This window comes from Homo sapiens, chromosome 5 (assembly GCF_000001405.40).
Source record: "Homo sapiens chromosome 5, GRCh38.p14 Primary Assembly".
NCBI classification, from domain to species: Eukaryota; Metazoa; Chordata; class Mammalia; order Primates; family Hominidae; genus Homo; species Homo sapiens.
In genome coordinates this window covers 170,257,905-170,269,677 of record NC_000005.10, presented here as the reverse complement: position 1 = coordinate 170,269,677, position 11,773 = coordinate 170,257,905, and the positions used below count along the sequence as shown (strand labels likewise).

Here is an 11,773-nt window from a genome sequence, read left to right as displayed (position 1 = left end):
GCACGAAGACAAGCACAGATGAGGCTGGAGCGTTTGCCTGAGGGTGTATCTTTAAGCTGTGATATTAAACCAAGGTTAAAGGATAAATACAAGTTGGCCAAGTGGAAATGGATGTGGTAAGGGAAGAACATTTGGAGCAGTAGAAATGGCTGTGCAAAGGCCCTGAGGCTCAAAGGAGCATGGCCTATTAGAGAAGCTGAGAGATGGCCAGTGCGGGTGGAGCAGGGTGGAATTAGATCAGGCTGGGCCTTGCTCCTACCCTTTTCCCTGTGGAAGAGCTGCACCTCCCCAAGGCTGGGACTAGAGTCGGGCAAGAGAGGCACCCAGGGCACAAAGCGTAAGGAGGCCCTACCCACTCACCCCTCTTGCTTGATGGTCTTGTCCTGGCCTTTCCCTGTCAAAGGGGTAGGAAATTGCCAGCCTGTCAACCTGGCCTAGGGACACTTCCGTGGAGATGTGGATAATGTGAGTTTCTGCCCAGATAATGTGAGTTTCTGCTCGAGGCAAATCTAGCTTCCACTTAAGAGTCTGTGGTCTGGTAACAGAAGTTGGTGATCAGCTCCTCCCTTTATGGGAAGAGATGAGCAAAATGAGGAAGTGTCAGGGAGGAGATAGCCCAGGACACTGGAGAGGGGAAGGAAGGGCAGACAGAACAAGATCCCTATGGCAGTGAGAGCTGACTTCACCCTGCACAGGCAGCTGGGTGTGCCTGTGAGATTTTTGGCATGTGTGTGTGTCTGTGTGCACTCGTGTCTCTGTGTATGCAGGTGTGTGCATATATATGCATGTGTGTGCATGCATGTGTGCACATGTGTATATCTGTGTGTCTGCATACAGAGGTATGCGTATGTTTACTTCTTACAAAATTGTCTGAAAATCCTCCCTTCCAGTTCTGGCTGAGCTGGTTACAAAGAGGCCTTTCTTGATTGGCAAAATCTCTGATAAATACCTATTCCTGTGAAATGCAAAGAAAGCTGAGCCTGTGTATAAGGAGAGTGACACAAACTAGGACAGAAAAAATGGGCAGGGAGGGGTGGGTGAGATCCAGGCTGGGTCTCCCCGTGGCTGGGGCTCATGTGGGCCTGGGGGTCAAGGATCATGCACCCCCGGTGCCCCGAGCTGCATATCTGTTCCTGGAGACCCCTGAGCTTGGCCGATACTCCCCTTTCACTTTAATAACCTTGTGTTTCCACAGACCGGCCCCCCTCTGGGAAAACCCCCCAGCAGCCTCCTGTGCCCCCCCAGAGACCGATGGCCGCCCTCCCGCCCCCACCAGCCGGCCGGAATCACTCGGTAGGCCTCCTCCCGTTCTTTTACAGTACTTGGTGTCCACTGCAGTTATTTCCTCCGCCAGAGAGAAAAATAAAACTATAAACATCTTTATCTCATTCTAATTTTGTAAGAAAAGATTATAATCTTTTCCCTCGGCTGGGGAAAGGCAAACCCAAGCATTCACACGTGTTTCTTTTTTGGGGTAAAATACTGGTGGTTTTTATTTACTTCCCACTATTTGAGAGAAGTGAAAACTGTAAAATAAACCCAAAGAGAACCGAATTAAGTCCGTGGCACCTACTGGTGTTGCCTGGGTACCGAGCCTTCCTCTCTCCTGCAAAAAGACTTGCGCCACCTTCTGGCCGACACCTGAAATTCCAAGGACAGGAGCCTTCAGACCGGAGGAGACAGAGGTAGCAAACCCCGTTTTCTCCTTCTTCGAGCATACAGCCCGGTCCTTGTGAATCTGATAAGTTCCCAGAGTGACCCTGAGAAGCTCAGACTAAGGACTTGATAGTTAGGAATGTGTTCCCTTCACAAGTTTATCTACAGATGTATATTGCTTTTGAGATTTGAAGACCTTCTTTTGAGATGCAGGATTCACTTATTTAATCAGCAAATATTGTCTGAGCAGCTACTATGTGCCAAGCAGAGTTCTAGGCGTTGGGGATAAAGTGTGAACAAGATAAATAAGGTCCCTGCTTTCATAAAACTCAACTAGGGCTAGTTATCAGACGGTAGACAGATGTCTGAAAGAGATCATTTGAGTAGTTATGTGTGGTTCGGGGGACGGAAGACCAGGTAACATGACGGTATGGGGGGGGGAGGTGACAAGGACCTGGGACAGAATGAGCCAGTTGTGGGAAGAGCCGGGAGAAGAACGTTCTAGGCAGAAGGAAACAAGTGTAGGGATGCCAAAGAGGGCATAACCTTGAGATTTTCCAGGAACTGCAAGAAGATTCTATGGTAGGGACCCCATGAGTACTGAGAAGGGATCACAGGAAAGAGTTGAGAGGGCAGACATGGGCCAGCTCAGGCAGGGCCTCGCAGGACATTAACGAGTTTCAATTTTGTTTCTAATGTGATAGGAGGCTTAGCAGGAAAGTGACATGCTCACTCTGCTGCCTGCAGAAAAGAGCTTGCGTGGCAGAGTCTAGAACAGGGAGCTCAGATAGGAGGCTACTGCGGTAGTTCAGTGAAGAAATGGACATGGATGTTTGTAGGCAGAACATGAAGATGAGGAAAAGTGAGCAGATCCAGACAGGTTTTGGGAGTGCCGGCTCTTGCTGATGTATTGGAAGTGCTTCCTAACGTTTGGATCTTTATGCAGCCACTGCCCCCACCCCAGACCAACCACGAAGAACCCAGCAGAAGCAGAAACCACAAAACGGCAAAGCGTGAGTACAAGGGCTGCTCTCTCTTGCCCTGTTCCCACCAGGCACTCCCCTAGCCCCGCCCAACCCCCAGCCGACTGCTTTCTTCTTTTAATTGATGTCAGCCTTTTCCCCTTCCAGTCCCTGCTCCTTCAATAGACAGAAGCACGAAACCTCCCCTAGATCGTTCATTAGCTCCGTTTGATAGAGAACCCTTCACACTAGGTGGGTATGATTCACATTTAATGCATAGTAATAATGATAAGCTGTTATAAAGTGCTTCCTGCATACGTTTCACATGTACCATCTCATTTAACTATGGCCACAATACTAGGAAGTGGAGACTAGTAGAATCATCCTCATTTTACAGATAAGGAAACGGAGACACAAAGAGGTACCTTCCCAAGATCACACAGCTACCAAGTGTTGGGAGTAGCGACCAAAGCCCATATCAGCCTCATTAGAAAGCTCCTGCTTGCAGCTTCTGGGGGCTGTGCTGCTTCTCTATGTGATGTGGATGATCTGTGTATACAAATCCCATTGTCCTTCAGCCAAGAGGCTTTAGGGTACAGAGAGAGGACCTGAATTGAGACAAAAGGGTTGGGGGAGCTGTTGTCTGCTGCCTTGCCTGCTACTTAATAGCTCACAGACCACAGGGATGTTAGTTTTTCAGAGCTCAGTCTCCTAATCTGTAAGGTGGATGTTCTGTACATAGAAAATGCTTTATAAATCCCTAAGGTGCTATTCAAATGTCAGGGATGTTTTTGTTTTAGGTATGCAATTGACCAAACATTGGGTATACCACAGTGCTTTTTCTTCACAATTTACGCAGAATATTCTTGGATTGCAGTTACCTTCACGTGCAGCTATTTTCAATTCAATTCTTAGCTACCATTTATTGAGCAACTGCTATGGGGCAAGTGCTCTACCTACCACAAATACACCTACAGTATCTCTAATCCTCACAGCAACTCAACAAAGGAGGTGCATTTTTAACCTCACTTCTCAGATGATAAAATTAAGGGTCAAAGAAGTTGAATAATTTGCCTAAATTTGCCTAAATTCGAACACTTGTCTTTCTGACTTCTAAGTGGGGGCTCTTTTCCACCATATCAGGCTGCAGTTGAGGACCCTGGGTTTTAACTTGCTGTGAACTACATGAGTCTGAGGAAGGAACTCTGCAACTGAACGGAAAGGAGCCCAGAATCCCAGCTGCCCCCACCCCTTTCTTGGCTATGCTCTGAGCAAGGCATTTAGCTTTCTGTGGCCTCAATCCCTTTTTGTCTGTCAACAAAATGACTTTCAGTTCTTGGATATGAGGCTGCTGCTCGCTGCTCTTTCCCCGAACTACATCACAGCTCTGCTGTGTCATGCAAAGCTGTGCTGGCTGGTTTGGCTTGGAATTGTCTGCTGTAGAGAGCTGTATAATTACATGGAAATGAAGATAGATTTGACTTCAGATTCCAACCCTGCTCACTACCACGAGCCGAGACATCAGAAAAGTGGAACACTGACATCAAATCCTTCGCAATCACCTCCTGACACAAAAGTTATTCTTTTAAAATATTCTTTTTTTCTATATTTAAAAGCATTTTTAAATGACACACTTTTCTGACAATTTCTGTTTTACCCTTGAATTAGTCCGTTTTCTGTGATGTTTTGGAAGGATTACTGTCTTCTTAAAATGTTTACACCCCACCTGAGACTTTTAACATGCTCAGAGAATATGCAAAAATTGGCAAATTTTGCTGGGCATGGTGGCTCATGCCTGTAATCCCAGCACTTTGGGAGGCTGAGGCGGGCAGATCACAACGTCAGGAGATGGAGACCATCCTGGCTAACACGGTGAAACCCCGTCTCTATTAAAAATACAAAAAATTAACCAGGCATGGTGGTGGGCACCTGCAGTCCCAGCTACTCAAGAGGCTGAGGCAGGAGAATGGCGTGAACCTGGGAGGCAGAGCTTGCAGTGAGCTGAGATCATGCCACTGCACTCCAGCCTGGGCGACAGAGCGAGACTCTGTCTCAAAAAAAAAAAAAAAAAAAAAAAAAAAGGCAAATTTTGAAATACTTATTCAGGCCAAAGAATATAAATTTAAGTTTCCTGGGTGCCCCTCTAAAGTAGAGGTTCCACCCCAAACCAAACTTTTATAAGCATCTTTTATACCGTCAAAACTCTCCCCATTACCAGCAAGCTCCTTTTTATTTTTATTTTTTTATTTTTAGTTTTTTTTGAGTCAGGGTCTCACTCTGTCACCTAGGCTGGAGTGCAGTGACAGCATCATAGCTCGTTACGGCCTCAAACTCCTCGGGTCAAGCAATCCTTCTTCTCCAGCCTCCCAAGGGGCTGAGGTTACAGGTGCATGTCCCCATGCCTGGCTAATTTTTAAATATACTGTAGAGACTGGGATTTCCCTGTGTTCACCAGGCTGATCTTGAACTCCTGGCCTCAAGTGATTCTCCTGTCTTGGCCTCCCAGCAGGCATGAGCCACCACACTCAGTGTCAGTAAGCTCTTCACAGTGAGGCAATATTCTTATCATGGGCCTGGCATGTACTTGGTCCTTAAAGAATAAATCACGTTGTGAAAATACAACTCCAGGGAGATAATATCACCATTCGCCATAGGGCACTAACTGTGCCTGGGTGTGGAAGGAAGGGAAAGAAAGGCGAGTTAACTAACAATTGTCAGCCCACATGGACCATATCAAAGTCAAAATAAAAACGTAGAAGAAAATCTCTAAATTTGTTTTATTTAGGAAGAAAGAATTGCAATTTGGGGCAATTGGTCTTCAGGGTCTTCAGTATGTCTGAAGAACAAAAAGAAGATTGGAGGTTTTATAAAAAGGAGAAGTGTTACAATATCGCTCCTTGAGAAAGTTCATCGGTTCTGGGGGCTGGCAAGTTTTGATTGGTGAGCAATGGCAGAGGGCAAAATTAATCTTCGAGTTGCAGCAGATTATTTCAGCAACTACTAGATGAAACTGGTTTCAGGTTACAACAGCCAACCTCACATAGAATCACATTTCTGGAGCAATGTTATGTGTCCTGAGTGCTTTTCCCTCTGGCTTCTCGACTCTGTTTTCCTTGGAGGTGATAAAATTCCCAATTTGTATGACCAACTTTCACAATCAAGTGCCTGATCCTGCATGCAAATTGTCACCCAATTCTTATGGCAAACCTATAGAGTTTTAGTCTATAATCTTCATTTTGAGATGATAACATTGGGATTCAAAAACCTTAAATAACTTGTTCTTGGTCATGTGGGATTTGCTTCTAGACCTGGTTGAATTTTGTTAGTAATATTTTCATCACATTGAAGACAAAGGGCATATTTATTCTAGGGGACTTTAGATAGAATACAAATTAAATTACTTTGAATAACTTTGTGATGCACAATTATCAAGTACACCTGGCATTTCTTCAGGGAGCCTGAATATCATCCGTTCTAGAAGAAAAGCAAAACAAACAATACTAACTAAAAACAAGCAGACAAAAAAGATTTGCAGCATACCAGGAGAGTCTCCTGAAATGCTCTCCCCAAGTGAAAAGTTTCTTCAGAAACTAAGTGGAGTGCTTCATTTAATATCAAGTGTTTCACAGAATTGGATAAAAGTTACCCTCTCCGTGGCAAGTGGATTTATTTCAGATATAAAAATAAAACTTAGGCTGCAGAAGAAATACTTTGGCCAATTAAAGAGGCATAAAATCCCAAGGAAACATTAATCCTTTTGATCATCAGTTATATAAAAGAAAATGTGATTTTATTTAAAAAAAGCACAGAATCCACAACACTACTTGTATGTACACAAAGCTGTGTGACCTTCAAATTAAATGGTCAAGCCATTTAATTTCTCTGAGCTTATAAAATTTGGTGGTCTCTAACGGACCCTTCCTAGTCTGAAGTTTCTGATTCTTTAATGCTTAAACCCCATCAACCCCCAAGAGGGTTCAGACTCATAGTTTCATCAAACTGTGTTTTTAAACCTCATGCTTATGAAGTTCTGAACTCATGGCCCATCTGCTCTCTGTCATTTACAGGAAAGAAACCACCATTTTCTGACAAGGTAAGCTGTGAACTTGTTTTTTGGTTGTGTTTGTTTGTTTCACATCTTGTCCTTATTCTTTGAAAAGTGCTTGGACACTCATACATTTTTCCTCCTGTCTTGCAGCCCTCGATTCCAGCGGGAAGGTAAGACTGTTGCATCTACATGAGGGTACATGGGACGTTCTGTAGAACTCTGCCTCGGCAAAGTTTGTTTCTTACACATCCTTTTCCTGAACTCCACAGGTCACTCGGGGAGCATTTACCCAAGATTCAAAAGCCTCCTTTACCACCGACCACGGAAAGACATGAAAGGAGCAGCCCCCTGCCAGGGAAGAAGCCACCTGTGCCAAAGTAATTGTCTGGTGTTGCTTGAGCTTGTCACTCACAGTGGCCGGCAGACAGGCTGCCCTGTGCTGACTCTGCAGTGGGAACCGAGGCTCCTCGGTGCTCCCGGGCAGGGTGGGCCTTTTCTTGCTGTGGCTTGAGGGATGTTCAGGCTTCACAGGTTGGCTATGAAGGATCAGGGTCTCTTTGAAGGAAATGGACTCTACTGAGAAATGAGTAGAGTGACATCTAATCAAGAGTAAGGGGTGACTGCTGTTTTTAGAGATTCCAGTCAAATATTTCATTGAGTTTTCCAACCTCGTTATAGCAAAGCCTTCACAGTGCATAGGAACTGTACTCACCATTTTATTTTTCAATACAGGTAGCAGACAGGAAATGGTTGGGGGAGGTTTTTCAGGTCACCGCAAGTGTCTTCCTTACTGCTCAACCACATTTGATAATTGCAGAATACTGAGCTCTGCCTTAGTATTTTTAACTTTGCTGTGAAGTAGTTTTCAGCCTATTTACCAAATGGCGCGCATGTACCTGGGGTTAAGGCCAACCTTGCTACTTGCAAAGAATACAACCAAAGCTTCCATCTCATTTGTGAATCAGGGGTCATAACTATCACCCTTGCTTGGCTGTTGTGAGGATTAAATTAGGACCAGGGCTAAAGTGTGCCAAAAAACCTCCTCAGTAATGGAGTTTGATAACATTTTAGAGTAATGTTTTTAAAAAATCAAAATAAATGCAGCAAACTCATAAGGAACAAAATTCCAAAATTTTAAATAAACACAGAATGAGATGATGATGTGTGAAGCGTCTGACACACAGGAGGTGTTCAACAAATTGTCCAGCTCTTCCCCTTCTCCCCAGAGAGGACATTATACGGCCCAGGCAGTGCAGATGCCTGTCGCAGCCCTAAGGCAGCTGTCCCCAAGTCTGTTTGACTAGCTCATTCATCTGGGCAAAGTGTACCAAGCCCCCTTTGGAATAGTCCCAAAGCAGCAACATTTTCTAATTGTCTTCTCTTTACACCAAGGTGGGCCCTGAGAGGGCTGTTTTAAAGCAAGAGCAAGGGAGAATATTACCTAAAATGTTTTCATTTCTTGGGAAAAACAACAGCTCAGTAAAATTTAATAGCTACTAAAGAGTTAGTTTGCTGACTAAACCACATGTGTGTGTGTGTGTGTGTGTATATACATATAGTGTGTGTGTACATATACATATAGAGTGTGTATATATATATATATACACACACACACACACACATAATTATTTGCTGCATTAGTTATGCAGAACAAAGGTTTGCCTAGCTCAGCTTGCAATGATGGCAGAACATGGAGTAACCAGATCTCCCTTCCACCCCCTCTCCCCTGCTCTGTGGGGGTCTGTTGCTTCCCATCTTCCCTAGGCTCAGTGGGTTCGATTTCTCATTATTCAATGAAGCAAAACTGTATTCTAAGGCTGGCTCTTTGAAACTCTTCATGCTCAGTTCTTTTTATTTGCCCTAATTCATTTCAGGCATGGATGGGGACCAGACAGAAGAGAGAATGTAAGTACAAAATGTCAGTTTGTAAGTGCTTGATACAGGGAAAAGAAGCATAGGCTCTTAGGAGGTTGGGACTCCATCCACCTTGGCCTTGGCCCAGAACCTGGAGCAGGTCCTGCACCCAGGGGTCTCGTCTCTTAAGGGCTGGTGCCTCTGTCTTTGGGCCTTGGTCATTGTCTGGAGCCCATCATGCTGTGTTGTTTAGCTCATGTCCCTCTAAGAGCTCCCAGAGTGGCTGGCTTAATTGCAGCTCCATTACCAGGGGCCGGTAATTACAGGGCACAAGGAGAAAAAGAGGATAAAGTAAGGGAAGGCCAGAAGTTTGGACCATGCCTAAATTTCCAAGGCTACTGTTTTCCTTTTCAATACTTCCACAACCTGAAAAAGAGGGGAAATAGCATTTCTTGAATGCTTACCATATGCACATTGCCATGCCAGTTAAATATGACCAGTTGTCCCTGTTTGCGAGGGATGCTGTCAGTTTTAGCACTGAAAAGTCCCCTGTCCCAAGAACTATCTCCATCCTAGGAAAACCAGGATAGTTGAGTATTTCTCGCTTTACATATGAGTATAATGAACCCATAAGGAAACATCTTTTCTCTTTTACGGAGAGGAAATTGAGGCTCAGAAGGAATAAGATACTCTTTGCAAATTGCATGCTTATAAAGAGCCAGGATCTGAACCCAGATCTGCTGAGTTTCTCTACACCATAAGCCCTCTGAAGGCCATCAGACCCCTGCTGTCATTCAAGGGCTCAGCCCAAAAGCGCCTGCTATTTTTGCAGCTCTGTGCTAGATGCTGTGCTTGTTCCGATGAAGTGCTGAGATCTTATGGAGGCAGGCACACTCACAACCCCTCATGCCAGACAGCATGCAATCACGGGATGCTCTGTGGGGCTGAGGGAAGAAAGTGTGCCATGTGGCTCAAGGAGCCAGCAGTGACTTCCTAGAGGAGGTGAGATTTATGCTGGTCATTCAATGATAGGGAGGACACAGAATAGAGTCATTCTTAAAGAAAGCCCATGGGGATTCCCCTCAGGAGTGTCCTGAGCAGGTGGATACCAGTGCCCACGGAGGCTGCAGGGACAGTGAGAACAGTGGCTTGGCTGCAGAGATAGGAACAAGGCAGAGGTAAGGCTGGACAGTGAGGATAACATCACATTCCAGGTTCCCTGTCTCTGGAAGGATTGACACTTGTGCTCATGAGAATCTGGGAGTTGTGTTTTCTGGAACCAGAGGGAATATACTTGCAAAAGTATTGAAAAGTGATTTTGTTGTGTGGGGTTTATGAGCCCATGTGTGTTTATTTATGCAGCTCTTTGCTGGGACTCCCAGTTGGCCAACTGGGATGAATGATTTTGACTGTGGCCTTTTTCGCCTTCTCTCAGTGTGTGATAGGATTGATGATGGCAAACTTTTATTAAAGAGCACTTAACATAAGCCAGACACAAGTAGTAGCTAATTTAATCCTTCTAACAACACTTTGAGAAAGATGCTGTTTCATCATTACAGATCTGGCCTAACCAAACAAGTTCAAGCTGGCCCTTTTGGTCTACTAGTTGGTGGCAACATCATTTTTTCTCTTTGAACCTCATTTCTTATCTGAGTGGAAGAGAAAATAGCCCCTCCCTTGTCTAATTTCCCAAGGTTGCTCTGAAGATAAAAATGGTGAGGGTTGTAGATGAACCTTGTAAGCCACCGTATAAATATGGTCTTATTGATCTTAAGAAGAGTGGCCATTGCAAAAGAGAGCCAAAAAGAAGACTGAGCTTTGGTCAGACATATTTGGGGTTGAATCCATCTCTGCAACTCCTGGCAAGCTAAGGAAGCTTCCTCAGCATCATGCTTTTGTAAAATGAGGATGTTAAATTTTTGGGGGGTCACTAGGGGAACTGAATGAAATCTTGTGTATGAATCTTTTGGACACATTGTAGATATTGTCAATATTATTACATCTTTGGGCCCTTTTAGGCACCTCAGAATCTATTTCATGCTGAGTATATGAGGAGAGTCTCATACTGGAATGCCCTTAGATGACTGTTTGTATTAAGAAATTGTAAAACACTTAGCAACTTCTATTATTCTCCACAGTATATTTATTATGAAGATGTATAACTGCCAGAGAAAGAAACAGATACCTATTTGATTTATTTGATTGAGAAATGCAGTTTTTATTTTAAGAATTGTATTTTGATGATAGCTTAATATCTTTTTTTTTCTTCCCCTTCCCAGGATGAAGATGATGGTATGTTCGGAAACACATTCTTACAGCCTATAACTCATTCTTTCATTTTCCTGCTCAGGCATTCAAGTGGAATTGTTTAGTACAGGAACCCCATAGAATCAATTATAAGTCTTAAATTAGTATTAAGTAGACTTATGTCAATTGGCATACTGCATAACTATCGTAAAATGGATTACTTGGTTAGATTACCGAAGAAGACTAAATTCATGTGTAACAGTGCAGATTATTTAATTGTATCACAAAATGTAAAATTGCATGCATGGTTTGATGGAAACATTTCTCACATTTATGTCTTCTAACACACGTGGGTAAAGAATCAGTAACTGCCAATGAATGAGATAGCATAAAATTTTGACTTTCATAAAACAAAACTTGTAAATCATTTCTGAAATTTATAAGGTTTCCAGCTGACAATTTTCTGCCAAGTTAACATTTCAAAAATGAAAAACAAAATCAATGTGTATTTTAGAGTATCATCTAGATCTGCGCCCCTTTGTAAATGGATTCTATGGTGGTTAAGTCATCTAGAAACACCCTGGGAGCAAGGTTCCATCCTACTACTTCCTAATTACATCTGATCTGCTTTATTTTTGTGTCCTCTTTATACTAGCTGTTTCTAACTGGGGGGCGGTTATGGAATGTTTCTTAGTGACAGCTGGGGCCTGCCAATCTCATTCATTGTTTTCTACTTCTGCACAGTGCATCAGAGACCTTTGCCCCAGCCAGCACTACTTCCTATGAGCTCCAACACTTTCCCTTCAAGATCTACTAAGCCAAGTCCCATGAACCCTCTCCCATCCTCTCACATGCCTGGAGCATTCTCAGAAAGGTTTGTAGCTCTGTCATGAAATTCTAGCTTAATATAATGTTTAGGTCCATCCAGTACTGAAGTAATGCCAGGCAGATTGAGAAAGAAGGAAATGACGGGTAGATAGTAGGGTCTGAACATTTTGGGTCTTAA

At 43.7% G+C, this 11,773-nt stretch overlaps 1 protein-coding gene across 2 annotated transcripts in view; it reads left to right on the top strand.

Annotated features, from left to right (window-relative positions):
* The window catches only part of LCP2 (lymphocyte cytosolic protein 2), a 51,545-nt gene that overhangs the window by 28,100 nt on the left and 11,672 nt on the right, over positions 1-11,773 (top strand). For both annotated transcript variants that reach the window (XM_047417171.1, NM_005565.5), the window contains 9 exons: positions 1,196-1,293; positions 2,603-2,669; positions 2,787-2,870; positions 6,686-6,711; positions 6,817-6,836; positions 6,936-7,043; positions 8,541-8,571; positions 10,800-10,812; positions 11,512-11,641. In XM_047417171.1, the coding sequence (XP_047273127.1) occupies positions 1,196-1,293; positions 2,603-2,669; positions 2,787-2,870; positions 6,686-6,711; positions 6,817-6,836; positions 6,936-7,043; positions 8,541-8,571; positions 10,800-10,812; positions 11,512-11,641 (577 nt within the window). The remainder of the gene's footprint in view (positions 1-1,195; positions 1,294-2,602; positions 2,670-2,786; positions 2,871-6,685; positions 6,712-6,816; positions 6,837-6,935; positions 7,044-8,540; positions 8,572-10,799; positions 10,813-11,511; positions 11,642-11,773) is intronic.